This window comes from Homo sapiens, chromosome 16 (genome assembly GCF_000001405.40).
Source record: "Homo sapiens chromosome 16, GRCh38.p14 Primary Assembly".
Taxonomy (NCBI): Eukaryota; Metazoa; Chordata; class Mammalia; order Primates; family Hominidae; genus Homo; species Homo sapiens.
Window position 1 is genome coordinate 58,570,069 of NC_000016.10, and position 26,121 is coordinate 58,596,189.

Consider the following 26,121-nt stretch of genomic DNA (forward strand, 5'->3'; position numbering starts at 1 on the left):
AGCAGTGGGGGAGCATATTCAAAATGTTCAAAGAAAAGGAATGCCAACCAGGAATCCTTCATCTGGCAAAGCTATCCCCAAAGATACAGGAGGAATTAGGATATTCCCTAGATAACAAAAAGAGGTAATTCATTGCTAGCAGTCCTGCTGAAACAAGAAAAATTCAAGAATCCTGGCTGAAATGAAAAAACACTGAACACTGACCTGAATCCGTATGAAAAACTACTGGCAAAGATACACAGGTAAATACAAAGGACAGTATAAATCTCCTAATTAAAGAACAACTGGGCTGGGTGCAGTGGCTCATTTCTGTAATCCCAACACTTTGGGAAGCTAAAACGGGAGATCAGTTTGAGCCCAGAGGTTCGACACCAGACTGGGCAACATACTGAGAACCTCAACTTTACAAAAAATTAAAAAATTTATCAGGTGTGGTGGCACATGTTTGTGGTCCCAGCTACCTGGGAGGACCGCTTTGAGTCTGGAGGGTTGAGGCTGCACTGAGCTGTGATCGTGTCCTGCGTGGGCAACAGAATGAAACCCTGTCTCAAAAAAATAACTGCATGAAGCAAGAATTATAAACCTTTTGGTGATCACATAATGTATAAAGGTATAATTTGCATGACAATAATGGCAAAAATCAAGGGGAAGGGGACAAAGCCATACTAAATGAAATTTTTGGATCCTACCGAAACTAAAAGATTGGAGTAAGTTAAAATGTTAGTTTTAATACCCAAGGCAACCACTAAGAAACAAAACAAAAAATAAAGTCAAAGAAACATAGGAGTTAAGATGGTACACTACAAAATATCTATTTAACAGTAAGACAGGCAGTAATGGAAGAACAGAGGAACAAAAGTGACAAGAGATAGAAAGATTAACAGCAAAAGAGCCCTATATTATCAATAAATACATTAAATGCAAGACAGGCAGAATGTAGTAAACACAAACACAAATTCACAAACATGCTCCAACCATACCTTCTCTAAAAGAGACCTACTTCAAATTAAGACACATATAGCTTGAGAAAAACAAAACAAAACAAAACAAAAAACAAAACAAAAATATACCAAGCAAACCACCATAAGAGAACTATAATGGTTATACTAGTATCAAACAAAACAAATGTTTAAGAAAAAAACTGTTAATAGAGACAAAGACATTTTACAGTAAGGGTCAATCCATCAGAAATATGTAACCATTAAGGCCGGGCACGGTGGCTCATGACCATAATCCCAGCACTTTGAGAGGCCAAGGTGGGTAGATCACCTGAGGTCAGGAGTTCAAGGCCAGCCTGGGGAACATGGTGAAACCCCATCTGTACTAAAAGTACAAAAAAAAATTAGCTGGAAATGGTGGCGCACGCCTGTAGTTCCAGCTACTCCAGAGGCTGAGGCAGGAAAATCAATGAAACGTGGGAGGAGGAGGTTGCAGTGAGACAAGACAGTGCCACCACACTCCAGCCTGGGTGACACAGCGAGACACAAGACTCCATCTCAAAAACAATAATAAAATAAAGAAGTATGTAACAATTATAAAAACACATGTACTTAAAAACAAAGCCCCAAACACCTGACGGAAAAACTGACAAAACTGAAGGGAGAAAAAGACAGTTAAAATAATAGGAGGCCGGGCATAGTGGCTCATGCCTGTGATCCCAGCACTTTGGGAGGCTGAGGCGAGTGGATCACTTGAGGTCAGGAGTTTGAGACCAGCCAGGCCAACATGGTGAAATCCCATCTCTACTAAAAATTTAAAAATCATCTGGGTGTGATGGTGAGCACCTGTAATCCCAGCTACTGAGGCACAAGAATCGCTTAAACCTAGGAGGCGGAGGTTGCTGTGAACCAAGATCACACCACTGCACACCAGCCTGGGGGACAGAGGCAGACTCTGTCTCAGAAAAATAAAAAATTAAAAATAAAAAAAATTGGGCTGGGCGTGGTGGTTCACACCTGTAATCTCAGCACTTTGGGACGCCAAGGCGGGCGGATCACCTGAGGTCAGGAGTTCGAGACCTGCCTGACCAACATGGAAAAACCCCATCTCTACTAAATATACAAAATTAGCTAGGCGTGGTGGCGCATGCCTGTAATCCCAGCTACTTGGAAGGCTGAGGCAGGAGAATCACTTGAACCCAGGAGGCGGAGGGTTGCGGTGAGCCGAGATCATGCCACTGCACTCTAGCCTGGGCAACAAGAGCAAAACTCCATCTCAAAAAAAAAAAAAATTGAATACTTCTGTACTCCACTTTCAATAATAGATAGATCTACAAAGATAGGCCAGGTGCAGTAGCTCATGCCTGTAATCAATCGCAGCACTTCTGGAGGCCAAAGTGGTAGGATGCCTTGAGCCCAGGAGTTCAACACTAGCCTGGGCAAGACAGTGAAATCCTGTCTCTACAAAAAATAAAAAATTAGCTGGGCATGGTGGTGCATACCTGTAATGCCAGCTACTTCAGAGTTTGAGGGGGGAGGTGGAGGCTGCAGTGAGCCATAATCATGCCACTGTACTCCAGCCTGGGTGACATACACACACACACAAAAATTAAGTTAACGCCAGGCGTGGTGGCTCATGCCTGTAATCCCAGCAACTTTGGGAGGCCAAGGCAGGCAGATCACTTGAGGTCAGGAGTTCGAGACCAGCCTGCCCAACATGGTGAAACCCCATCTCTACTAAAAATACAAAAATTAGTTGGGAGGGGTGGCATGTCTCTATAGTCCAAGCTACTTGGGAGGCTGAAGCAGGAGAATCACTTGAGCCTGCAAGGCAGAGGTTGTAGTGAGCCAAGATCGCACCACTGCACTCCAGCCTGGGCAATAGAGCAAGACTCTGTCTCAAAAAAAAAAAAAGAAAAAAAAATTAAGTTAAATAAATAAAATAATTAATAAATTTAACAAAATCAGTACAAGATGTACACTGAAAATGAAAAAATATCACTGAAAAAAATTAAAGAGGCCAGGCGTAGTGGTTCACACATGTAAGCCCAGCACTTTGGGAGGCTGAGGTGGCAGATCACCTGAGGTCAGGAGTTTGAGACCGGCCTGGCCAACATGGCAAAACCCCATCTCAACTAAAAATACAAAAATTAGTGGGGCATGGTGGTGCACACTTGTAATCCCAGCTACTCGGCAGGCTGAGGCAGAAGAATCACTTGAACCCGGGAGGCAGAAGTTGCAGTGAGCCGAGATCATGCCAATGCACTCCAGCCTGGGCAACAAGAGTGAAACTCCATCTCAAAAAAAAAAGAAAGAAAGAAAAAAAGAAAAAAATTAAAGACCTAAATAAGTAGAAAAACATCCCAGATTCACGGATTAAAAAGACAATGTTATTAAGACAGCAGTACTCCCCCAAATGAGCTAAAAATTCAACGTAATCCTCTCAACATTCCCAGTAGGCTGTTTTGCAATTTTTTTTTTTTTTTTTTTTTGAGATGGAGTCTCGCTCTGTCGCCCAGGCTGGAGTGCAGTGGCGAGATCTCGGCTCACTACAAGCTCTGCCTCCTGGGTTCACACTATTCTCCTGCCTCAGCCTCCCAAGTAGCTGGGACTACAGGCGCCCGCCACCACGCCTAGCTAATTTTTTTGTATTTTTAGTAGAGACAGGGTTTCACCGTGTTAGTCAGGATGGTCTTGATCTCCTGAACTCATGATTCGCCCGCCTCGGCCTCCCAAAGTGCTGGGATTACAGGCATGAGCCACCGCACCCAGCCTTAACTAGCTGATCTTAAACTTTTTAGGAAAATTCAAGGAACCGAGAAGAGCTGCAACAATTTTAAAAAACAACAAAGCTGGGAAATTCATAATCCCCAATTTCAAAACTTACTGAAAACCTATTGTGATCAAGACTGTGGAACTGGCCTTTGAGACACAGATCAACAGAATTAAGAAACCAAAAATAGCCCAGGTATGGTGACTCACACCTGTAATCCCAGCACTTTGGGAGGCTGTGGCAGGAGGATCACTTGAGCCCGGGAGTTTGAGATCAGCTCGGGCAACATACTGAAACCTCATCTCTACAAAAAGAAAAAAAAGAAGAAGAAGAAGAAGAAAATTTAACCAGCTGAGAGTGGGTGGCACGTGCCTGTGGTCCCAGGTACTTGGGAGGTTGAGGTGGGAGGATCACTTAATACAGGAGTTTGAGGTTGCAGTAAGCTATGATTGCACCACTGTACTCCAGCCTAGTCGACAGCAAGACCTTGCCACTTAAAAGAGAGAGACCACAAACTAACCCATGCACTATGGGCAATTGCTTTTTTTGAGAATAATTCAAAAGGCAAAGTAGTGGTCTCAACAAATGCTGCTGGAACAACTGGATATTCACATGCAAAAGATGAATTTGGACCTCTACCTCACACCAGATACAAAACCTTAACTCAAATGGATCTAGTATGTATCATAAATAGTATAGGACTTTGGACTTAAAACCATTGGACCATTTTAAACTGCTGTCACTTTCACTGAACCTCTTCTTCCGCAAGTCTACAATTATTCATATAATCCAATTCAAAAAAAGTCATATTCATGTATGTACTTCTTACCCTGCACAAGCTTGCAGACAGGCCAACATTGTCGCCAAAGTTTCTGGAGGAAGTTGAGCACTTTTGGGCTGGTCTTTTTCTGGGGCAAGTCCGCCCAAAATAGAAGGACACCGTCTCTTTAAAAAAGTCATACACGCCTGGATAAAAGGCTCCTGAAGAATAGAAAAGTCTCTCAGTGTATTTAAAATTGATCTTAAATGTTTTTGGATTAAAGATAACTACTAAGCACTATAACTAAAATCCAAAATAAGTAACATCTTCATTGCCATTTAAAAAAGTTGTTTCTTTCAAATTTTTCTTTAGTTTATTACTGCTGCACAAATTTTAAAAGTTGTACTTGATAGCCATTTTAGCCACCAAAATTTAAGAGCAAAAATAAATGAACAAATCCTGCTTACCCCATGCTCTCGAATTTTATCTGTGAGCCACTTATCAAGTTTGAGGTATTCACGACGTGAAGCAAGTGCAGCAAGGTCAATAACAAAGGCAAATGGAGTACCATTTAGCAGCATTGACAAGGCCTAAAGGACAAAGCACATTAGATAATGCAAATGGAGCAATTAAGTAACTATCTCTGTCCCATATTCTGTTTTTCGCTTTCCACAAACAAGTTCAAATAAAACACACTGCTAATACTTCCTTGGTCACAATTTAAACAGCTAAGCACAATTCAGGGGTAACATTAGTCATTATTTTCTAAAATAATGATCACATTTTAAAGGTGAATACATGACACTACCTTCCAAACAAACTTTACCGTGCTCTTTAAAATAACTAAACCTAGAGCAGAACAAGACTCAAAGCATGAATAATTATCCCTACCCATTTTTCAAAATCTAAACACAGGCTTAAGCACAACTATATCACCAGTACATTAATGCACCTAGTGATTAATAATATAGAGTCTAGGCTGTACGTGGTGGCTCACGACTGTAATCCCAGCACTTTGGGAGGCCAAGGTGGGTGGATCACCTAAAGTCAGGAGTTCAAGACCAGCCTGGCCAACATGGTGAAACCCTGTCTCTACTAAAAATAAAAAAATTAGCCAGGTACGTTGGCAGGCGCCTGTAGTCCCAGCTACTTGGGAGGCTGAGGCAGGAGAATCACTTGAACCCGGGAGGCAGAGATTGCAGTGAGCCAAGAGGCGCCACTACACTCCAGCCTGGGCGACAGAGTAAGATTCTATCTCCAAAAAAAAAAGATATAGAGTAATTCATCAAAAGATCCTGTTGATTCTCACAGAGTTGCTTAAGGGAAGAAGCATGCCTAGTTTCCCCAAAAACTGTATCTAACATAACTTATGAGAAAAGCTAACTTTTCACTATAAAACAGCTTTACAATATATGGAAGACCAATCAAAAATAAAAACACTTTTATCTACCTAAAGCCACTCTCCTTCCTATCCTTTTTAAGAAACCTCTAAATCTCATCTCATTCTAGGAGCTAGTCACATGTGAATTATTCCTAGAGCATCTTTGTTACATAAGCATTTACTTTTTTTCCTTTTTTCTTTTTTTTTTGAGATGGAGTCTCACTCTGTCACCCAGGCTGGAGTGCAGTGGCACAATCTTGGCTCACCACAACCTCCGCCTCCCAGGTTCAAGCGATTCTCCTGCCTCAGCCTCCTGAGTAGCTGGGATTACAGGCACGCACTCCACGCCCGGCTAATTTTTCTATTTTTAGTAGAGATGGTGTTTCACCATGTTTTGGTCAGGCTGGTCTCGAATTCCTGACCTTGTGGATCCGCCCACCTCAGCCTCCCAAAGTGCTGGGATTACAGGCATGAGCCACCGCGCCCGGCCTTTTTTTCTCATTAGTAAATAAACTGGTGTCAGTCTGTCCCTCTGAACTCACCTTCAAGTCCTGGGCCACATCAAGTATTCGAGACAATTTGGCCTGATCATACTGCTCCCCTCTCATGTACCATTCTGCCATTGCATGCATGATAAGTTGGCGAATTGAGGGAGACTGTCCCTAAAAAGGGGAAGAAAGATTAAATAGCAATACTGCTAAACACTGTGATAGATATTATTACAAATGCCCAGTTAATTTTGCTAGAACTTGTATAAAAATCAGGTATACCTGTGCTGACATTAAGTTCAGGCCTCAAACTATGCAATTACCGTGACGTTCTTTATGGGAAAGCCAAGTTACCTCCACATATTCCAAATAAAGCCTGTTCCTAAACTTGGGTCATATAGTCATTCAACAAACTTATTTGTCCTATTTTAAGTCTGACTATCATTTTCAGAAACACAAATGTGAACTAGATTATGTGAACATGAGGTTACATCAAGTTTATATAATTACTTTAAATGCAAATTACTGGTATATAAATAAAAACAAAACAATTTAAGGTAACTATTTCTGATGTTGCACAGTATAGTGTTGGATGTATCACTACTTCTGGGAGTGGCGCCTGTACACACATTCTAAATCTTATTTCCACAAACAAGAATCTTTGATTTTTTTAATTCCATTTCTTTTTTTTTTTTTACTGGCAGGTAGCCTGGTTTTCAGAAACAACGATGAATGATGCAAATATCTAGAATTCAGTGAGTATTTATCATAGAAGCAACAGCAAGACCACTACTATTGCTATATCTAAGTAATATCCCAGTTAATTGTCCTAGAGTGGCAGATGGTCTGCTAGAACAAGTATTCAATCACAAGTGAGGAGATGCAGCTCGTTTACCAGCCCTTTCTACCTCACAGCTATGGTGAGAAAGGAATGAAGACCATCTGGACTGCAAATGCTTGGTTAAATGTTTATCATGCATTTTGTAAACTGTTAAAGTCTACAATGTTAATTGAGTCTCTAGGAAAGGAGGGGAAACTAACTGAATGACCTAGAACTAAGGCTAACATTTTTCACTTATAATAAAGAGCCTTATTTCACTAATTTGTAAAAAGCACTTGTATATAATATAAACTACTCCAAGTATGGGTAAAGGATAAAAAGTAGCTAAAAAGGGCACTCGGGGTAAAGGGGAAGAAAGTTTTTTTCTGCATGTATCATATAATGTAGGATATTAGCTTGGGAAACAGGGCAAGACTCTGTCTCTACAAAAATTCAAAAAATTAACCGGGTATGGTGGCATGTGCCTGTGGTCCCATCTACTTAGGATGGCTGAGGCAGAATGACTGACTGAGCCTGGGAGGTTGAGGCTGCAGTGAGACATGTTTGCATCACTGCACTCCAGCCTAGGTGACAGGGCAAGCAAGATCCTCTCTCTCAAAAAAAAAAAAAAAAGTAGGGGAGGGAAAAAAATCAGTGGACAAAAGAATACTTACTTGCCAAATACATTCTACAAAATTAGAGGTAAAAAGCACAGGGGCTTGAAAGGCATTTCAGCACAAACTGAAATAAAATGTAAATGTTGGATTTAGATAAATTAGAAAAGAGTGCTAATTAAAAATTGCTCTGTGATCTCTCATTTCTTGTGAACATATGACATCAATACCTTCTGCCTCCATGATAGATGTTTAAGCTCCTTCGCATAAAAAGGAAAGTGATGCCCTAGCAATACAGACCTTTCTTAATATTGAAATTATTAAATATTGGCCGGGTGTGGTGGCTCACACCTGTAATCCCAGAACTTTGGGAGGCCGAGGTGGGTGGATCATTTGAGGTCAGGAGTTTGAGACTATCCTGGCCAACATGGTGAAATCCCACTTCTATTAAGAATACAAAAATTAGCTGTGCATGGTGATGCACGCCTGTAATCCCAGCTCCACAGGAGGCTGAGGCAGGAGAATCACTTGAACCCAGGAGATGGAGGTTGCAGTGAGAAAGACTGCACCATTGCACTCCAGCCTGGGCGACAGAGCAAGACACCATCTCAAAAAAAAAAAAAAAAGGAAAGAAAATAAAATTATTAAATATTATTTTGCCTCCTTGCTTTTGGGATCTTGTATTTTATTGCTCACATGATTCTAAAAGATAAAACAAGTTTTATGACAGTATGACTTTTAAAGTCATAATAATTCAGAGATGTAAAAAAAAATTTCTCTGGTTGAGCTTCCTCAACACTCCAAAGAAGATCAATTATTCAGATGAAAAAATGGTAAGCACACGGTCACATCTTACCTGCCCATGCCATGCATAGTGCAAAATAATAGCTGAGTTAGGATGGTTTCCAAGGAAAATTGGCATCAGAGTGGAGATAAGTTCATGGCGCAAGGTATGCCAAGAGGTGTTAATTTGTAGTAAGGCCAATACCAGCATGTCTGGACAGTGTTTGATAGGGAAGCTGAAGAGCTGTTTGACTTGCTCATACTGCCCAACCTCTGCAAGCCTCAGCAGAGATTCAATCAAATCCAAGCTCTTCCTAACGAGAAAGGAAGAAACATGCTTTATCAATGAAAATCCAAGTATACAGATTAATTTTCAAAATAAGTGATACCAGCTTGTAAGCACAAAACCAAGTTGGTGTCATGTTTTAATATTAGAAGTTTGAAGTCCACAGCACTCTCTTTAAGAATTATTTTTGCCCCAAGAGGTTGAAACTGGTTGACTTTAACTGAGCCTGAAGATCTAACTCTATCCTCAGCCCATGAAAACCATGGGGATAGAGAATGAAGTAAACACCATGAGAAAACAGGTAAGAAAATAACATGGGGTAGACTAGAGAACAAATGCTGTATTTCTCTATCAAATCAATGGCAAAAAATAAATTTAAAAGACAGAACAAAGACAGATTTACAGAATAAAAGAAACTATGGACTGCGTCTGGATTCTCAATCATAGAAATTTTTAAAAGACATTTTTGAGCCAATTGGGGAACTTAAATGTAAATAACTACCTATATTAAGGAACTGTTATTTGTTAATGTGATAATGGTATTTAAGCTTTATAAAAATGGAAAGAGCCCTTTATCTGTTCAAATAAAATGAAGAAGAAACACTACTATATACACTAGACTCATAAGGAAAAAAATAAGCAATTTTTCAAATCTAATGTTGGCTACCACCTAAGAAAAGAACACACCACCACCAAAAAAAGTAAAGACAATTATTTGATCAATAACAGAAATGTGTTCTGGGAGGGTATAGATAGAAAAAAATTGAAGATACATTATGAACTAGATCCCTTTGGGGAACAATTCAGGCCGCGCTCTCTCCCTGTAGCCCTGCGTACTTCAAAAATGATCAAAGTACTTGTACCATTCTTTCTTCACACATTCACAGAGAGGAATGACGGGACAGAGTTCCAAGAGAAACCTGATATACACACCAGGCCGGACTAAGATTCTACCTCGAAAATTTGAAACTGGAACTCAGAGAAACTAGATACTTTAGCTGAAAAGCATTAGATTTGGCCAGGTGCTGTAGCTCACACCTGCAATCCCAGCACTTTGAGAGACCGAGGCGGATGGATCACTTGAGGTCAGGAGTTTAAGACCAGCCTTGCCAACATGGTAAAACCTCATCTCTACTAAAAATATAAAACTTAGCCCAGGGCGGTGGTGAGCACTTGTAATCCTAGCTACTCGGGAGGCTGAGGCAGGAGAATCGCTTAAACCGGGGAGGCGGAGGTTGCAGTGAGCTGAGATTGTGCCACTGCACTCCTGAGATTGTGCCACTGCACTCCAGCCTGGGCAACAGAGCGAGACTCCATCCCAAAAATATAAATAAGAAAAGAAAAGAAAACTATTAGATTTGACAGGTTGGCCACCTTGAGCAACTTACAAATAAAAAAAAAAAAAGGCATAAGCTCTACAGAGAAGAAATCTCAATACTAAGGGAGAAAGGAGGAAGTACAAATCTTTCCAACATTTGATACTTTCAGATTTGATGCTTTTAAAAGAACACCTAAAGACAGACCTTACAAGATATAACTAACGATAGAGACTGAAAAAGAATTTATCTACCAACCCCCTCTATAAATACTTAAGATAAGTAAGGTCACTAAAACTACTGCTTCATTTAAACCTGTTAACTATGTACTTGGCTTACTATTAACTTTATATTTCACAAAATAAGAAGTAATCTTTTAAATGAAAGATGAATCAAAGTGTTTACCATGTGGCAATTTCTCGATTGTCATCCTCTGGTGGTGCTTTCAGAATATCAGTGGCAACAGTATGACAGGGATAGTCAGCAAAACAGAAGATCTCTGGATTTATAAGGGAATGTTGAATGAAGGAGAGCTGCAATGAAAGAAAATGCTTACCACCATAAATGATTGTGAATGCTATAAAAATCTGAAATGTTTTCACTAGGCTATTGTCAATCTTAAGGTTATTAGCATGGCAATTTCCCGTTTAAAATCTTAATTATTTGCCCTTTGAAAACCACACATAATTCAGACACATTAAAGGTGCATAATGAAACCCTGTCTGGATTATCAATCATAACAACTGTTAAAAGACATTTCTGAGCCAATTAGGGAAACTTAACGTTGCCTTGGAAATGAACATCATTAAACTATTGGGAAAACACCTTGACTGTTAAAAGACATTTCTGAGCCAATTAGGGAAACTTAACGTTGCCTTGGAAATGAACATCATTAAACTATTGGGAAAACACCTTGACAGTTACACCTTAAAGGAGTCTGCCTAATACTAAAACTATGATAATATTCCTTCAATACTTATGGACAGTCCTTGCTTTTCTGTGCTATGTATAACAAATTCTACTTTACAAGAATATTTCGATCAATGGGTAGATGGCACTACATAAAGAATAAGTCATGTTTTATTCCCCCATCTATAGCTAAATACCACTTACTCACCTGGCCTTCAGCATGTTTCCAAGGTCTATATATGAGGTCTACTGGGAACACTTCCATACCCAAACCCCTCTGAATGCCATAAACCACATTATGAAGTCCTTTACTGTCACGAATTTGAAATCCAGGATGGTCCAGTTCATAAGTTACTTCCTTGAAATTCAAACTTGGATTCTAAAAAAGACCAAAGCAGTTTAAAATGTAATGAATGTGTGTATATTTTGATACATTATCCAAAAGGCCAAATTAAATCTGAAATTCAATTTAGATGTTCTACTTACAAAATTTTTAATGTGAATTTTAAGAAACCCATTCTTTTTTTTTCTTTTTTTTTTTTTAAGACAGAGTCTCACTCCGTTGCTCAGGCTGCAGTGCAGTGGCATGATCTCAGCTCACTGAAACCTCTGCCTCTTTGGTTCAAGAGATTCTCGTGCCTCAGCCTCCCAAGTATCTGGGATTACAGAAGTACACCAACATGCCCAGGTAATTTTTTAAAATTTTAGTAGAGACAGGTTTTCGCCATGCTGGCCAGGATGGTATCAAACTCCTGGCCTCATGTGATCCACCTGCCTCGGCCTCCCAAAATGCTGGGATTACAGGAGTGAGCCTCCACAACCGGCTTATCACACTACCTTTTAATATCTAAAAGTTCCATTCTAGAGCCAGGTGCAGTGGCTTATGCCTGTAATCACAGCACTTTGGAAGGAGGGCGCATTGCCTGAGGTCAGGAGTTTGAGACCAGCCTGACCAACATGATGAAACCCTGTCTCTACTAAAAATACAAAAAAAAAAAAAAAAAAATTAGCCAGGCATGGTGGCACAAGCCTGTAGACCGAGCTACTTGGGAGGCTGAGGCAGGAGAACTGCTTGAACCCAGGAGCCAGAGGGTGCAGTGAGCTGTGATCGTGCCACTGCACTTCAGCCTGGCCAACAGAGTGAGACTCCGTCTAAAAAAAACAAACAAAAACAAAAGTTCCATTCTAGGCCAGGTACAATGGCTCACGCTTGTAATCCCAACGCTTTGCTCCCAAAGGTGGGAGGATCACTAACTAGAGCCCAGGAGTTAAAGTCCAATATGGGCAACACAGCAAAAGGAAAAATAAATAGAGTTCAATTCCTTTATGTCTTATTTAAGCCCTTCAATATTTTAGTAGAGGTACTTTATTTTTTATTCAGTTTGCAACCGAAGTAGAAGTGGCAAGATAATTATGATTTTCACTGTTCTTATCCACCATAAACAAGAGTAACTTAGAAGTAGCACCCCAAATTACAAGGTAACAACCCTAATGAAAAAATTTAAATTTGGTTACGTACTGCCTGCAGTACACAATTAACTTGGACACTTTATTACTTTTTGAGTTAACGAAGGTGGAAAATTCTTAAAAATTTGCTTTCTTTGGACTATATCATTCAAATACCACAAATCAAAAATCATCATCACATATACTCACCAGTTCTTTAAGAACGTCAATCAAGACTTCTACATTCCATGTGTGTGCCTGTGCTCCATCACTTTTATCTTTCCCATCACTCCAGATCCCACTGCCCGGAGCAGAAATACTCTGTAGAAGTAAAACTTGAATTAAACAAACCCAACTACTCCATGTGTTCACTTCTGGTCGATAGAACAATCAATCATACTGTAATTTAATTAAAAAAAAATAAAGAGGACAGGACATTAACTCACTTGGTAAAATAGCTGAATTCAACACACCTGTAATGGAATGCCATCTGTTAATCCTGAATGAGTTCGAGCCATCATTCCCAAAACCCTTGCAACCTGGGCAGCTGTGACCTCCCGAACACCAAACTGCACGATTATATTGCGACATTCTTCAATACTGAAACAGAAATATAACTTCAGAAAAATGCTACCAGCCTCAACACCGAGATTGAGAAATTCTGGCATTAAATGAACCTTGTTTGAAAGCCTTAGTTTTACTAAATAAAACAGGCAGAGCAGTAAGTGTTATTTCTTGTTACATTTATACAGCTAGGAATGTAAAAACCATCTACTTCAGTAAGAAAATGGCAAAAGTCATTATTCTAAGTAACTCGGGAATGGAAAACCAAATATTGTATGTTCTCACTTGTTAGATGGGAGATAAGCTATGAGGATGCAAAGGCATAAGAATGATACAATGCAGTGGGCTCCCAAACCCCCTGCCATGGACTGTTATCAGTCTGTGGCCTGTTAGAAATCATCCACACAGCAGGAGGTGAGCAAGTATTTCCGCTTGGGCTCCACTTCCTGTGGAGTACAAGAGTACTGGAGTACAATGGCACAATCTTGGCTCACTGCAACCTCTGCCTCAGCCTCCCAAATAGCTGGGATTACAAGCATGCACCACCACGCATGGCTAATTTTTGTATTTTTAGTGGAGATGGGGTTTCACCACATTGGCCAGGCTGATCTCAAACTCCTGGCCTCAAGTGATCCACCCACCTCAGCCTCCCAAAGTGCTGGGATTACAGGCATGAGCCACAATGCCCAGCCTGAAAATTTTTTTAAAACAGGCAAACAATTTTAAAAAATCAGTGTAAGAGCCGGGTGTGGTGGCTCACGCCTGTAATCCCAGCACTTTGGGAGTCTGAGGCGGGTGGATCACGAGGTCAGGAGATCAAGACCATCCTGGCTAACACAGTGAAACCCCATCTCTACTAAAAATACAAAGAATTATCTAGGCATGGTGGCGCTCACCTGTAGTCCCAGCTGCTCAGGAGGCTGAGGCAGGAAAATCACTTGAACCTGGGAGGTGGAGGTTGCAGTGAGCTAAGATTGTGCCACTGCACTCCAGCCTGGGCAACAGAGCAACACTCCGTCTCAAAAAAAAAAAAAAAATTCAGTGGAAGAAAATAAGACTCATGAGTAATGCTCTCTTTCACAATAACAAAATTATCTTCAATCTTCTTTAAGATTTTAACATCCAAAGTGAGTTTTATTATTCTGATATGTACACAGCCTTGAAAATCCATCCTAACTTTTTTTTGTTAGTCTCGCTTTTTTTTGACGAAGTCTCGCTTTGTTGCCCAGGCTAGAGTGCAGTGGCACGATCTTGGCTCACTGCAATCTCCACCTCCTGGGTTCAAGTGATTCTCCTGCCTCAGCCTCCTGAGTAGCTGGGATTATAGGCACGTGCCACCACACCTAGCTAATTTTTGTATTTTTAGTATAGACAGGGTCTTCACCATGTTGGTCAGGCTGGTCTTGAACTCCTGACATCAGGTGATCCGCCCACCTCGGCCTCCCAAAGTGCTGGGATTACAGGTATGAGCCACCGTGCCCAGCCTGCATCCTAACTTTTCACTATGCATCTTATTCAGTTTGATTAACAAAAATTATATGCCAGGCACAAGTACAACACTCACAAATGCACTATTTCAAACCTCAGTGAGAATGTGATTTGTCTGAGAGTTTTTAAAACATAAGGATTTTTAAGTCAAAGCAAAGCACATTAATCCCCTTAATAATTTGCTTTTAGAAAAATATTAATAATCCAGTGTATCACAGTCTTAAGTGCTACTAACAGTGTGAAACAATATCCTTTGGTGCCCTAAGCAAGTGAGAAAAATACGCAAGAGGCAGAAAAGGAAGGAAGCCACAGAAGAAGGCAGAATGAAGAAATTAGAGGGGTGGGGGTCAGAGAGGAGAAAATTAGTCACATTAAGTGTAAAGCGATACAAGTTCCATAAACACTAACTTGCTTCAATGCTCTCTCTTCCTTCCAAAAGCCAAAATATGCCTATTGTGGCAACTAGCCTGGAAACCTCTGGCTCCTAATTTTGAGAAACTGGTGAGGGGAAGGAGATAAACATTTAACACCCAGGATGTTTACAGCTGTCACACACACTAGTTCGTGGAAGATTAAAATTTAGAAGCATGCCTCTTGAGAAGAAAAGATGATTAACTTTAAGGAATTTTAGAGACTTTTTTTAAAGAATTACATCATGTTTGGCACAAGAATAATCAGAAGCTTAACACATTTTACTACCAACCTTGCACAAAAGCCATAGCCTACTTCTTGCATGAAATCAGCCAAAGAGCTCTCCATCATGGTTTTAGCTACCCCTCCGGAATCAGGCAGGATCCTGTCCATTAGAATGTCCCGTTTTTCAGGGTATAAAAGTGGTGCGAGCACCACGGGACAGCGTTCTTGGGGAAAATCTGAGAGAGGAAAAAGGTTACAACTGCTATACTAATTAAAAACAAACAATCCTCTTTTGCTCTATCCAAAATCCCCTCAAACCCAATTCTCTCACAAGTTCATATTCAAAGCCAAGCTTATTTCATTTTTCCAGCCTACTAGCCGAAGTTACGACTTTAACATCAATTCCAAAATTTGAATACTTTTATATCACAAAAAATGCTCATCAGTGTACCTTTAACATTTGACACTGGCATTCCATCTACTGACCAATTCGTACCCTAAATATTACTTTAAATTTGCACAATAGGGCTATCACTTCCCATACAAAGAAAGCATCAAAAACAAACAATTAGAATATCAGTCTATTTATTTCACTGGCAAGTGGAAAGTTTCCCATTAGTGAGAATGTTAATGTACATTAAAATTAAACTCTATAAACATTAAGAAGTAAATAAAAGTAACCATGAGAATGGATGTTAATCCACTATCAGATTTGTTGTGAAAAGAATTCTTATCTTTCTCAAACATGAAAGCTCAGAGGCAACAAAATAACTAGGATTTATCTTAACTTTACAATGCCGATATCCAAGGAGGTGAAGTGAGCACATCAAAAGTGACCGATTTTTTAAGCTAAAAATAGCATGTAAGGCTAGGTATGGTGTCATGCTCGCCTGATCTTCCCAAAGTGCTGGGATTATTGGCCTGAGCCACTGTGCCCAGCTGATGTTGTCTCTTTTTTAAAAAGAGAAAGAGGCGGAGGGGAGGGGAGGCGAGGGGAGGGGGAGGGGGGAGAGGTGTGGGGGTGGGGGAGGGGGAGGGGAGGGGAAGGGGAGGAGAGGGAGAGGGGAAGGGGAGGGGAGGGGGAGGGAGGGGGAGGGGAGGGCAGGGGGAGGGGGAGGGAGGGCAGGGGAGGGAGGGGAGGGGAGGGCAGGGAGGAGGGGAGGGGAGGGCAGGGAGGAGGGGAGGGTGAGGGGAGGGGAGGGGGGAATGCTTTTGTGATGTGTCTGTGGTCATCCAAGAAAACCACCCACTGTAGGCTACAAAGACTCCCTTACCTCTGCGCAGCGTCTTAAGAAAAGCGTCTATCTGTTCTTGTCCAACTCCAAAGGCTCCCTTCTGCCCAAAGAGGAGATGGGAGAGGAGGAGGTGTAGGACCTCTATTGCTATATCTTGGAAGCCACCTTCTTGATTTCCACTGACGTCTGCGTCAATGTAAGAACGCAGAAGATCTGGAAGCTTCTGTTTGATAAACTGGGCAGCTAGAAGTCAGGTAAACCAAAAACCGCAAGTTACTTTTGCACCACAATGGGTTAAAAAGTCATATACCATCAAAATGCAGATAATCACCCTTCTCATTCACCAGTTCACCCATCTCTCTAATGCTTTCTCTAGCTGACAGGTATAAAGAAACCAATGGCCAGGGACTGGCAGTGGGGAGGGGAAAATAGAGAGTTGTTGATGGGCATAGTTCTGTTTGGCAAAATAAAGTTCCAGAGAGATGTTACACAACCTGAATACAATTATCCCTATGGAACTGTACACTTAAAGTGGTTATGAGGGTAACATTTATATTACATGTTTTTTACCACAGATAAAGAGAAATTAATTTCAGATTATCTTACTCTCTAAGTCTAAATCACAGAGCCTCATGATTAAAAACCCACGTATTTTAAAGTCTCACTTCGTGATATTTTTGGAAAAAGTAACTCACCGAAACCTCTAAGATCTGAGCTGGAAGAATTCAACAGGGCAAGGCCAAAAATTACCTGAAACAAGAAGGATTAGATTAACCAAAGAGTCAAATGGCTGTTTTTAATTCTAGTTTTGTCTACATCTCTTTTCATAAATCACTCACCTCTTGTACTTTGCTTAATTTGAGCACTTTACTCAGCTGGGCAAATAAGTGGGGTGCAGGCTTTAAACTCTGAAACAAACCAAATTTTAGTTTAAAATAAGAACTTACTTTTTCAAGAAGTTTTTAACAACCTATCTGTTTGCCCAAGGATGGCACTACATAGGAGTTGCTTAATTCTGTAGTGTTACTAGAAACATTACACTATGTCCTAAAACTGTGAAATGACAAACTTAAGCCTTCACATGATCTGGTTTTAGTAAGATTCTATTTATTATTAAATGAACTGCCTTGATTTTGTTACAAACTATAAAAGACACCCCAAAATAACAACCTGAAATTTTTATATTAAGACATCACATTATGAGATCAAGGCTTAGGGACTTTTTAGAAAGCCTAAGGAGAGATCACACTCTTAAAGATAATAGTAATACCAACCTTCTGATAGTGCAATGGATTATCAATGGCATAGGACAGCGTCGAGATAAAATTTGGCTTTGTAATCAGCAACGCACACTCCTGAATCAGAAACTGAGTCTTTAAAAATAAAAAATGATTTTCATTAGCACTAATCATCATCTAAGAACAAACAGAAGCTGAGGTACTCAGAACATTAAAATGTGATCTAACACTATATACTGTTATATATTATCAAAATCGGCTCTTTAAAAATCTCGCCAGGTGCGGTGGTTGACAACCGTAATCCCAGCACTTTGAGAGGCCAATGCAGGTGGATCACCTGAGGCCAGGAGTTCAACACCTGCCTGGCCAACATGGTAAAACCCTCTCTCTACTAAAAATACAAAAATTAGCCAGGCCTGGTGCCAGATGCCTATAATCTCAGCTACTTGGGAGGCTGAGGCAGGAGAATCGCTTGAACCCAGGAGGCAGAGGTTACAGTGAGCCACCACACTCCAGCCTGGGTGACGAGAGAGAGACTCTGTCTCAAAAACACCCAAGGTAAAAGGAACCAGGAAATAAAAAAAGATGTAAAGAAAGTTATAAAAATAGAGTTTTTTAAAAAAAAAACTCATTACACTACTCAAAGTCTATTAGCAGCAAAACTTCCAGAAAATAAGAGCTCATTGACAAGATTACTGTAAGAAACAGTATTATGACAAACTCTTGCCAGATGGGGAATAAAGCTAGAGATTCAATCCAGGACATGAGATCTCCTCTGCCTTACTAACTTTTCAGGCAGGGAACCCTCACATTCCTGCTTCCTTCAGGCAGGTCTGATCCCTACCTCTCTAAACCTGAACTAGGTAGCTGTTATAGTCTACAGCCAGGCAGAAGGGACGCACAGAAAAAAAAGGAAAAATCTAACACCTTTTCACCATCCAGCTACAATCACTTCCGGATGCTATTTTGTACGTGTCATATGCTACATACACTATGCCCAAAATTCATTTAACAATTACAGCTAAGTGGACATGAACTCTGTAAGCCCCAAATACCTGATGGAAATCTTTGCCACTGCTTTTACCATCGCCACTGAAATCCACATGCGAAAATAGGCAGCGTAATAAATGCCTGTCTGCCTCAGGACCGTGCCGATTCACAATCTAAAATGACCAAAAATAACATGTTTAATAAGGGAAGATAAAACAAAAAAAAAAAGTAAGGTTTCAAAAAAGAAAATCAACCTCCAAGGCAAAATTCCAATTTACATTAGTTACTCATTTTTGAATTAAAGTTAAAGGAATTATTGATGGAAGTGCCCATAATTTATAACTCAATTTTTTTTTTAGAGAGGGTCCATATTGCCCAGGCTGATCTCCAACTCCTGGACTCACAGCGTCTTCTCGCTTCATCCTTCTGAGTAGCTAAGATCACAGGCATACACCACTGCTTCCAGCTGTAATTCAATATTATAAAAATGTTTCCTGGGCCGGGTGCAGTGGCTCACGCCTGTAATCCCAGCACTTTGGGAGGCCGAGGCTGATGGATCACCTGAGGTCAGGAGTTCAAGACCAGCCTGGTCAACATGGTGAAACCCCGTCTCTACTAAATATACAAAAATTAGCCAAGCATGGTGATGGGTGCCTGTAACCCCAGCTACTCGCGAGGCTGAGGCAGGAAATCACTTGAACCCGGGAGACAGAGGTTGCAGTGAGCTGAGATCGTGCCATTGTGGTCCAGCCTGACCAACAAGAGTGAAACGTCGTCTCAAAAAAAGAAAAAAAAATTGTTTCCTATAGTCAGTCACTGGCAGGAAGAGAAGAAAAACTACAGTAATTTTACCATGCAACTCTGTACTTTGCTCAACATCTACACCAAAAACACCACATGGCATTGATCAAATGTGTAACAAAAGGTTTTTTTTTAAGGCAACAATTTTACGTAACTCAAATTCTCTCTGCTAACACAGCTGTAATGCTACGTGGCACAGCCTTAAATGAAGCTGCCATAAGATCCGACTTCAGTGATTTAGATGCTGCCCTTGAGCTCAGTTTCCTGCCCTTCCTCAAATTTACCCATGTTTGTTTCTATTTGTTATTCTTTCTAAATGAAAAACTCCAGATGGCTATACATGGTTTGTTCTTTCACTTCATTTAGGTTTCTACTCTAAAGTCACCTTATCAGTGAGGTCTTATTACCATTCCTAAAACAGAAATATGACCTGCCCCAGCATCACTCCTTATTCTGCTTTACTTTTTCTCCATAGCATTTACCACTACCTGCTAATTTGTTTATTGAAATTTTGTATAGCTGTGTTCACTTCTGCACATCTAGTCTAGAAAATAATTGAGCACAGTGTATGTGCAGAGTAATCACGTTTGCTAAGAGCCACATACTACCTACACGTTGGGCTACATATTGCACTGAGCTTTCCTGGCTTAATCTTCAAAAACTGCTAAAATTTACCACCATCTATCCCCACGGATAAGGGGTTGACATATTTAAAACAGACTCCTTGAGCCTAAAATCCAAGTCTATGAGTTGAAGAATCTGGATTTATAGTCCAACTTCAAAGCCTATGATCTTCCCACTATATCATGATAATAACATGAAAGCTGTCTAAGTTCTTAGCTTATTTCAGTTTCCCTTCTCTTCATTCAGAAAATATGGAAGTTAAGAAAGACCATCTCTACCAAAAAAAATAGCTAGGCATGGTGATATACACCTATAATTTCCAGCTACTTGAGAGGCTGATGTATGAGAATCGCTTGAACCCAGGAGGCGGAGGTTGCAGTGAGCAGAGATTGCACCACTGCACTCCATCCTGGATGAGGGAGTGAGACTCTGTCTCCAAAAAAAAAAAAATAGAACAGAGTCTGGGTGCAGTGGCTTACACCTGTAATCCAAACACCTTGGGAGGCTGAGGCAGGAGGATCACATGAGCCCAGGAGTTCAAGGTTACAGTGAGCTATGATGGTGCCACTGCACTCCCACCTTGTGGGGACAAAGCAGCACCCTGTCTCAATAAAAAATAAAACAAAAAAGAACAGAATTAACTATGATCCAATTAACCAGATCTCTCACCCTTGAAAAAATACAATAATCTGGTTCAACCTACACTTGCTGAGTATATGCTACGTACTAGTCTAGGTGTAAACACAGCAGCAGAGACTAATAGGTTCCAAATTCTCACAAAGTCAATTTTTGTGGGAGAAGTACAGGCAAAGAATTTCTGACAACATTATCTGTTAACAAAAAGAAAGTAAAACAGAGCTTGCTAACATTGATGCAGGCGGTTACCTCAGAGAAGCCTTCTAAGGTGAGACCTGTGAGCTGAGACAACCATAGATACAGGTGAAGAAAGAACAATCCAGGGAGAAGGAAAAACCTAGAGTGCAAAAGCACAGAGACAGAAAAGAACTCTGAAGATCAGAAAAAGGGTCAGAGGGAATCAGAGGGCCAGATCATGGTTAATGAATACACTGACTTGTCTGAGACTGTGTTATCAACCTAAAAAAATAGAAGGCACATTTCATCACACAGTCAATGGCCAAAGAATAAAAAAGTTTCAAGTTTTTGTTTCACTAGGATCAGCAAAGATTTACTAAAATCCCGTTATCCTTACATTTGTTTCTGTAACTCTTAATTTTTTTCCCATGCAGATTATACAATAAAAACCTGCAATGAATATTTTTAAGAGGCAGAATATGTTTTCAAATTTAACTATGCGCCGGACTCGGAGGCTCATGCCTGTAATCCCAGCAGTTTGTGGGGCTGAACTGGGCGGATCACCTGAGGTCAGGAGTTCGAGACCAGCCTGACCAACATGGTGAAACCCCATCTCTACTAAAAATACAAAAATTAGCCGGACGTGGCGGCATGCTCCTGTAATCCCAGCTACTCAGGAGGCTGAGGCTGGAGAATCGCTTGAACCCAGGAGGCAGAGGTTGCAGTAAGCCAAGATCATACCATTGCACTCCAGCCTGGGCGACAAGAGCAAAACTCCGTCTCGAAAAAAAAAAAAAAGTTAACTATGGGATACTCCATTATTCGTGTGGCACATAGGTTTGATACACTCTAAGTCTTAATCCTCCCTCATGTCTTCTTTAGGTCAAATAGTGCCTACCATTCCATATGATTTTTTTTCAACCATTCCATATAATTTTCGAAATCTCTGACATCATAGACTTATTTGCTAATGTCCCTCCTAATATGTGGCTCCTAGATCACAATGTTTTACTACAGCCATAAATCGAAACATTATAGAAATATTGCCAAAAGCCCTTGATATACTTAATTTTTCATATATTAAGATTTTGCTACCAGATTTTAAGCTGTTTAATACAATTTTTTAATTATTTTACTCGTCTCCCCTTCCCAACTGGTAGAATGGTTTCTATTTTAAGCAAAAAAGTGTAGGGCTTAATTTTAGAGGATAAATATAATCTTAACATCTTTGTAACCCAAGATTTTGTTTATAAAATAGTTTTAGAAGAAACAGTTGCTCCTGGTGAGGAGCAGACAGCATGGCAGCATAGAAGAAACATTCCATTCACAGCCATAAAATGTTTGTCTTTAATTACTGCAAAACTGACTTAAAAAAAAAAATCTTCCCTATTAACACGGTATTAAAAATACTGAGTGGCTGTAAAAGCAATTGTTAAATTAGAAAGTTATTATATAAACAAGCTGGGTGTGGTGGAGCACAGCTATAGTCCTAACTACTGGGGAGGGTGAGGCAGGATGATCACTTGAGGCCAGGAGCTGGAGGTTGCAGCGTGCCATGAATGTGTCTGTGAACAGCCACTGCATTCCAGGCTGGTCAACACACCAAGACTCCATCTCCCTAAAACAAACAAAGTAGTCCAGAGAGGTCCTTCTTACCACCTCTAAAAATGGGCCAAATTCAGATTTCTCTTTGAAACTGATAAATTCAGAAATTAAAATGTTTAGGACCGACAAATGCCCCAAAACATACAAATATCCTCTGTTCAAGTGATGAATCTGCAACACCAATGAGCCATGAAAGAAAAAAGTTGTCCATTTAGAGACCCACATCAGCCCACAGAAATAGCAGAATGGTCAAGAGTATAGAGCTGAGGGAAGAATCAAGATCAAGATATCATTTAAATATCTGTGATTAACCATCTAGCCAAAGGAGTGTGCCGGAAAAGCAGAATGCAGAAGAGGAGGCGGCAACCATTACCAAAGCTGAAAACAGAAAGGGGAGACTACCCTCAACATACTCCTCACCCTCAAGCATGCCCAAGATTGTTGATGTGAATAAATAATTGGGTCAATTCAAAAGTAAAAACACAAAGAATCAGGATGGAACCTATTTTAAGAAACTGTAAAACAAACAGCAAAAACAAAACACAGGTTAAGAATACATATTTCGGCCAGGCGCGGTGGCTGATGCCTGTAATCCCAACACTTTGAGAGGCTGAGGAGGGCGGGATCTCTCGAGGTTAGGATTTTGAGACCAGCCTGGCCAACATAGTGAAACCCAGTTCCTACTAAAAATACAAAAAATTGGCCGGGCGCAGTGGCTCACACCTGTAATCCCAGCACTTTGGGAGGCCAAGGCAGGCAGATCACCTGAGGTCGGGAGTTCGAGACCGGCCTGACCAACATGGAGAAACCTCGTCTCTACTAAAAATACAGTATTAGCTAGGCATAGTGGCACATGCCTGTAATCCCAGCTACTTGGGAGGCTGAGACAGGAGAATCGCTTGAATCTGGGAGGTGGAGGTTGCAGCGAGCGGAGATCGTGCCATTGTACTTACTCCAACCTGGGCAACAAGAGCGAAACTCCGTCTCAAGGGAAAAAAAAAAAAAAAGTTAGCCAGGCATGGTAGCACATGCCTGTAGTCCTAACTACTCAGGAGGCTGAGGCAGAAGAACTGCTTTAGCCCAGGAGTTTGAGGAGATGATGATCTTGCCACTGCATTCCAACCTAGGCAACAGAGTGAGACTCTGTCTCAAAAAGTAAGTGAGGAAAAGTTAAATTAAACAAATGTTGATAGCAACCATATTCACAGTAGCCAAAGAAAGCAGAAGCAAAACTAAATATCCATCAACTGATGATACAGATACACAAAATATGAAATATCTATATAGTAGAATATTATTTAGCCATAAAAAGAAATGAAGTACTGATACATGCTACAATACAGATGAATCCTACTTGAAAACATTATATTAAATGAAAAAAGGCAAGGCCAGGCATGGTGGCTCACGCCTGTAATCCCAGCACTTTGGGAGGCCAAGGCGGGCAGATCACCTGAGGTCGGGAGTTCAAAACCAGCCTGACCAATATGGAGAAACCCCGTCTCTACTAAAAATACAAAATTAGCTGGGTGTGGTGGCGCAGGCCTGTAATCCCAGCTACTCAGGAGGCTGAGGCAAGAGAATCGCTTGAACCCGGGAGGCGGAGGTTGCAGTGAGTGGAGATCATGCCACTGTACTCCAGCCTGGGCAACAAGAGCGAAACTCCATCTCAAAACAAAAAAACAAAAACAAAAAACAAAAAAAGAAAGCCAGACACAGAAGGCCACATACAGTACGATTCCATTAAATACGCAAATGCACCAAGGCAGAAATAGAATAGTGGTCACTAAGGGCTAGACAGAGAAGGAAAAGGAAAGTGACCGCAAATGAACCCAGGCATTTCTTCTGGAGGTAATGAAAATGTTCTGAAATTAGATAGTGGTTATGGTTGCACAACTTTGTGAATCTGAAAAACTACCAAATTATATATTTTAAAAGGGTGAAATCTGGCCAGGCGTGGGGGCTCACGTCTGTAATCCCAGAATTTTGGGAGGCTGAGGCGGGTAGATCACATGATGCCAGAAGTTTGAGACCAACCTGACCTACATGGTGAAACCCCACCTCTCTTAAAAACAAAAATAAGCCAGATGTGGTGGTGCACGCCTGTAATCCCAGCTACTGGGGAGGGAGAGGCTTGGAAATCACTTGAACCCAGGAGGCGGGGATTGCAGTCAGCTGAGATTATGCCACTGCACTCCAGCCTGGGAAACAGACCAATACTGTCTCATTAAAAAAAAAAAAGAAAAAGAAAAAGAAAAAAAGGCTAGGTACAGTGGCTCACGCCTGTAATCCCAGCACTTTGGGAGGCTGAGGCAGGTGGATCATGAGGTAAGGAGTTCAAGACCGGCCTGGCCAAGATGGTGAAACCGTCTCTACTAAAAATACAAAAAAATTACCCGGGCATGGTGGCAGGCACCTGCAATCTCAGCTACTTGGGAGGCTGAGGCAGAGAACTGCTTGAACCCGGGAGGCGGAGGTTACAGTGAGCCGAGATCACGCCACTGCACTCTAGCCTGGGTGACAGAGTGAGACTCCGTCAAAAAAAAAAACAAAAAAGGTGAATTTTACAACCTATGGATATTTCATTTTTTTAATGTGAAAAATAAAGGAACCAAAAAAGAAAAAAAAGAGGAACCAGACCAAAACAAGTCAGATCACATTTTATAATTTTAGAGACAAGTCACAGCATTTTGTTCAAGTTAATCCATTTCATTCAATAATCTACCATATTGTTCCCCGCACCACTATTACTGTCACTATTTCTCTTTGGAGATGACCAGGTTTTTAAAAATCTGGCTTGAATTTCCATAATGCCTAACTCTATGATCAAAACTATTTTTCCATCTCAAAAAAAAAAAAAAAAAAAAACTCCATCTAAAAAACAAAACAAAAAAATTCCTTACCAAAAAGCAACCCCTTAATCACAAGACAGACAGAGGGAAAGATTAAGATATATTTGCATAAATTTATCTTCACTAGAAACAATTCATAGTCCACAACCATTCAGGGTTGTGTTTACTTGGGGACTTTATTTTGGGGAGGGGGTTCTCATAAATGTTTGCTTAATAAAAATAACCTGCCCCACTGTATCATGGAAGGGAAATGAGGACTAGTCCCCAGAGAAAAAGCAGGCCATCCTCCAGGGAAGGGGCCCTAATGACTCCTAGGGGTGACAGAGTCAGTGATCCTGCCTCTCTAACCCATCACCAGTAATAAAGTATAACCAGGTGAATGGGAGAGGCAGTAACTAGCCAGACAACCCATGGGCCAGAATTTCTAAAACAGGAATGCTTTTGTGTTTAAGTCAGAGGTGGAAAGATACTTTTGAAGAAAGTTACGGAGAATAAAAAAGTGTAAAAAGGATAAAGGTTTTTCACCAGGGAATCCACAGAAAGGTATCAAAGGCAGTCTTGTGCTTTTCTTTTGGGATGAAGGTACCGCAAATGGGTTGTACAATTTTCACATAAAAACTGGAATGATACTGAACAAGTGAAATTGAAATCAGTTTCCCTCCTTTGTTCAATAAACACTGACAGCACCTGTGTGCAAGGCAGTGGGACAAGTGCTGAAGGGAAAAGTAAAGCTGTCTAAGATGTGGCCCTGAGCTGAAGGAGCA

General features: G+C 40.7%; 1 protein-coding gene across 4 annotated transcripts in view; it reads right to left on the minus strand.

Annotated features, from left to right (window-relative positions):
* The window catches only part of CNOT1 (CCR4-NOT transcription complex subunit 1), a 109,876-nt gene that overhangs the window by 50,118 nt on the left and 33,637 nt on the right, over nt 1-26,121 (minus strand). For all 4 annotated transcript variants that reach the window (NR_049763.2, NM_001265612.2, NM_016284.5 and 1 more), the window contains exons 3-16: nt 18,731-18,838; nt 17,712-17,810; nt 17,277-17,345; nt 17,133-17,187; nt 16,477-16,680; nt 15,270-15,438; nt 12,988-13,114; nt 12,725-12,835; nt 11,277-11,447; nt 10,565-10,692; nt 8,631-8,871; nt 6,395-6,514; nt 4,939-5,061; nt 4,541-4,692 (exon numbers count right to left, since the gene is read on the minus strand). Coding sequence is in view for 3 of the 4 variants with exons in the window: in NM_001265612.2 (NP_001252541.1) it covers nt 4,541-4,692; nt 4,939-5,061; nt 6,395-6,514; nt 8,631-8,871; nt 10,565-10,692; nt 11,277-11,447; nt 12,725-12,835; nt 12,988-13,114; nt 15,270-15,438; nt 16,477-16,680; nt 17,133-17,187; nt 17,277-17,345; nt 17,712-17,810; nt 18,731-18,838 (1,877 nt within the window). In the remaining variant the exon portion in view is untranslated. The remainder of the gene's footprint in view (nt 1-4,540; nt 4,693-4,938; nt 5,062-6,394; nt 6,515-8,630; nt 8,872-10,564; nt 10,693-11,276; nt 11,448-12,724; nt 12,836-12,987; nt 13,115-15,269; nt 15,439-16,476; nt 16,681-17,132; nt 17,188-17,276; nt 17,346-17,711; nt 17,811-18,730; nt 18,839-26,121) is intronic.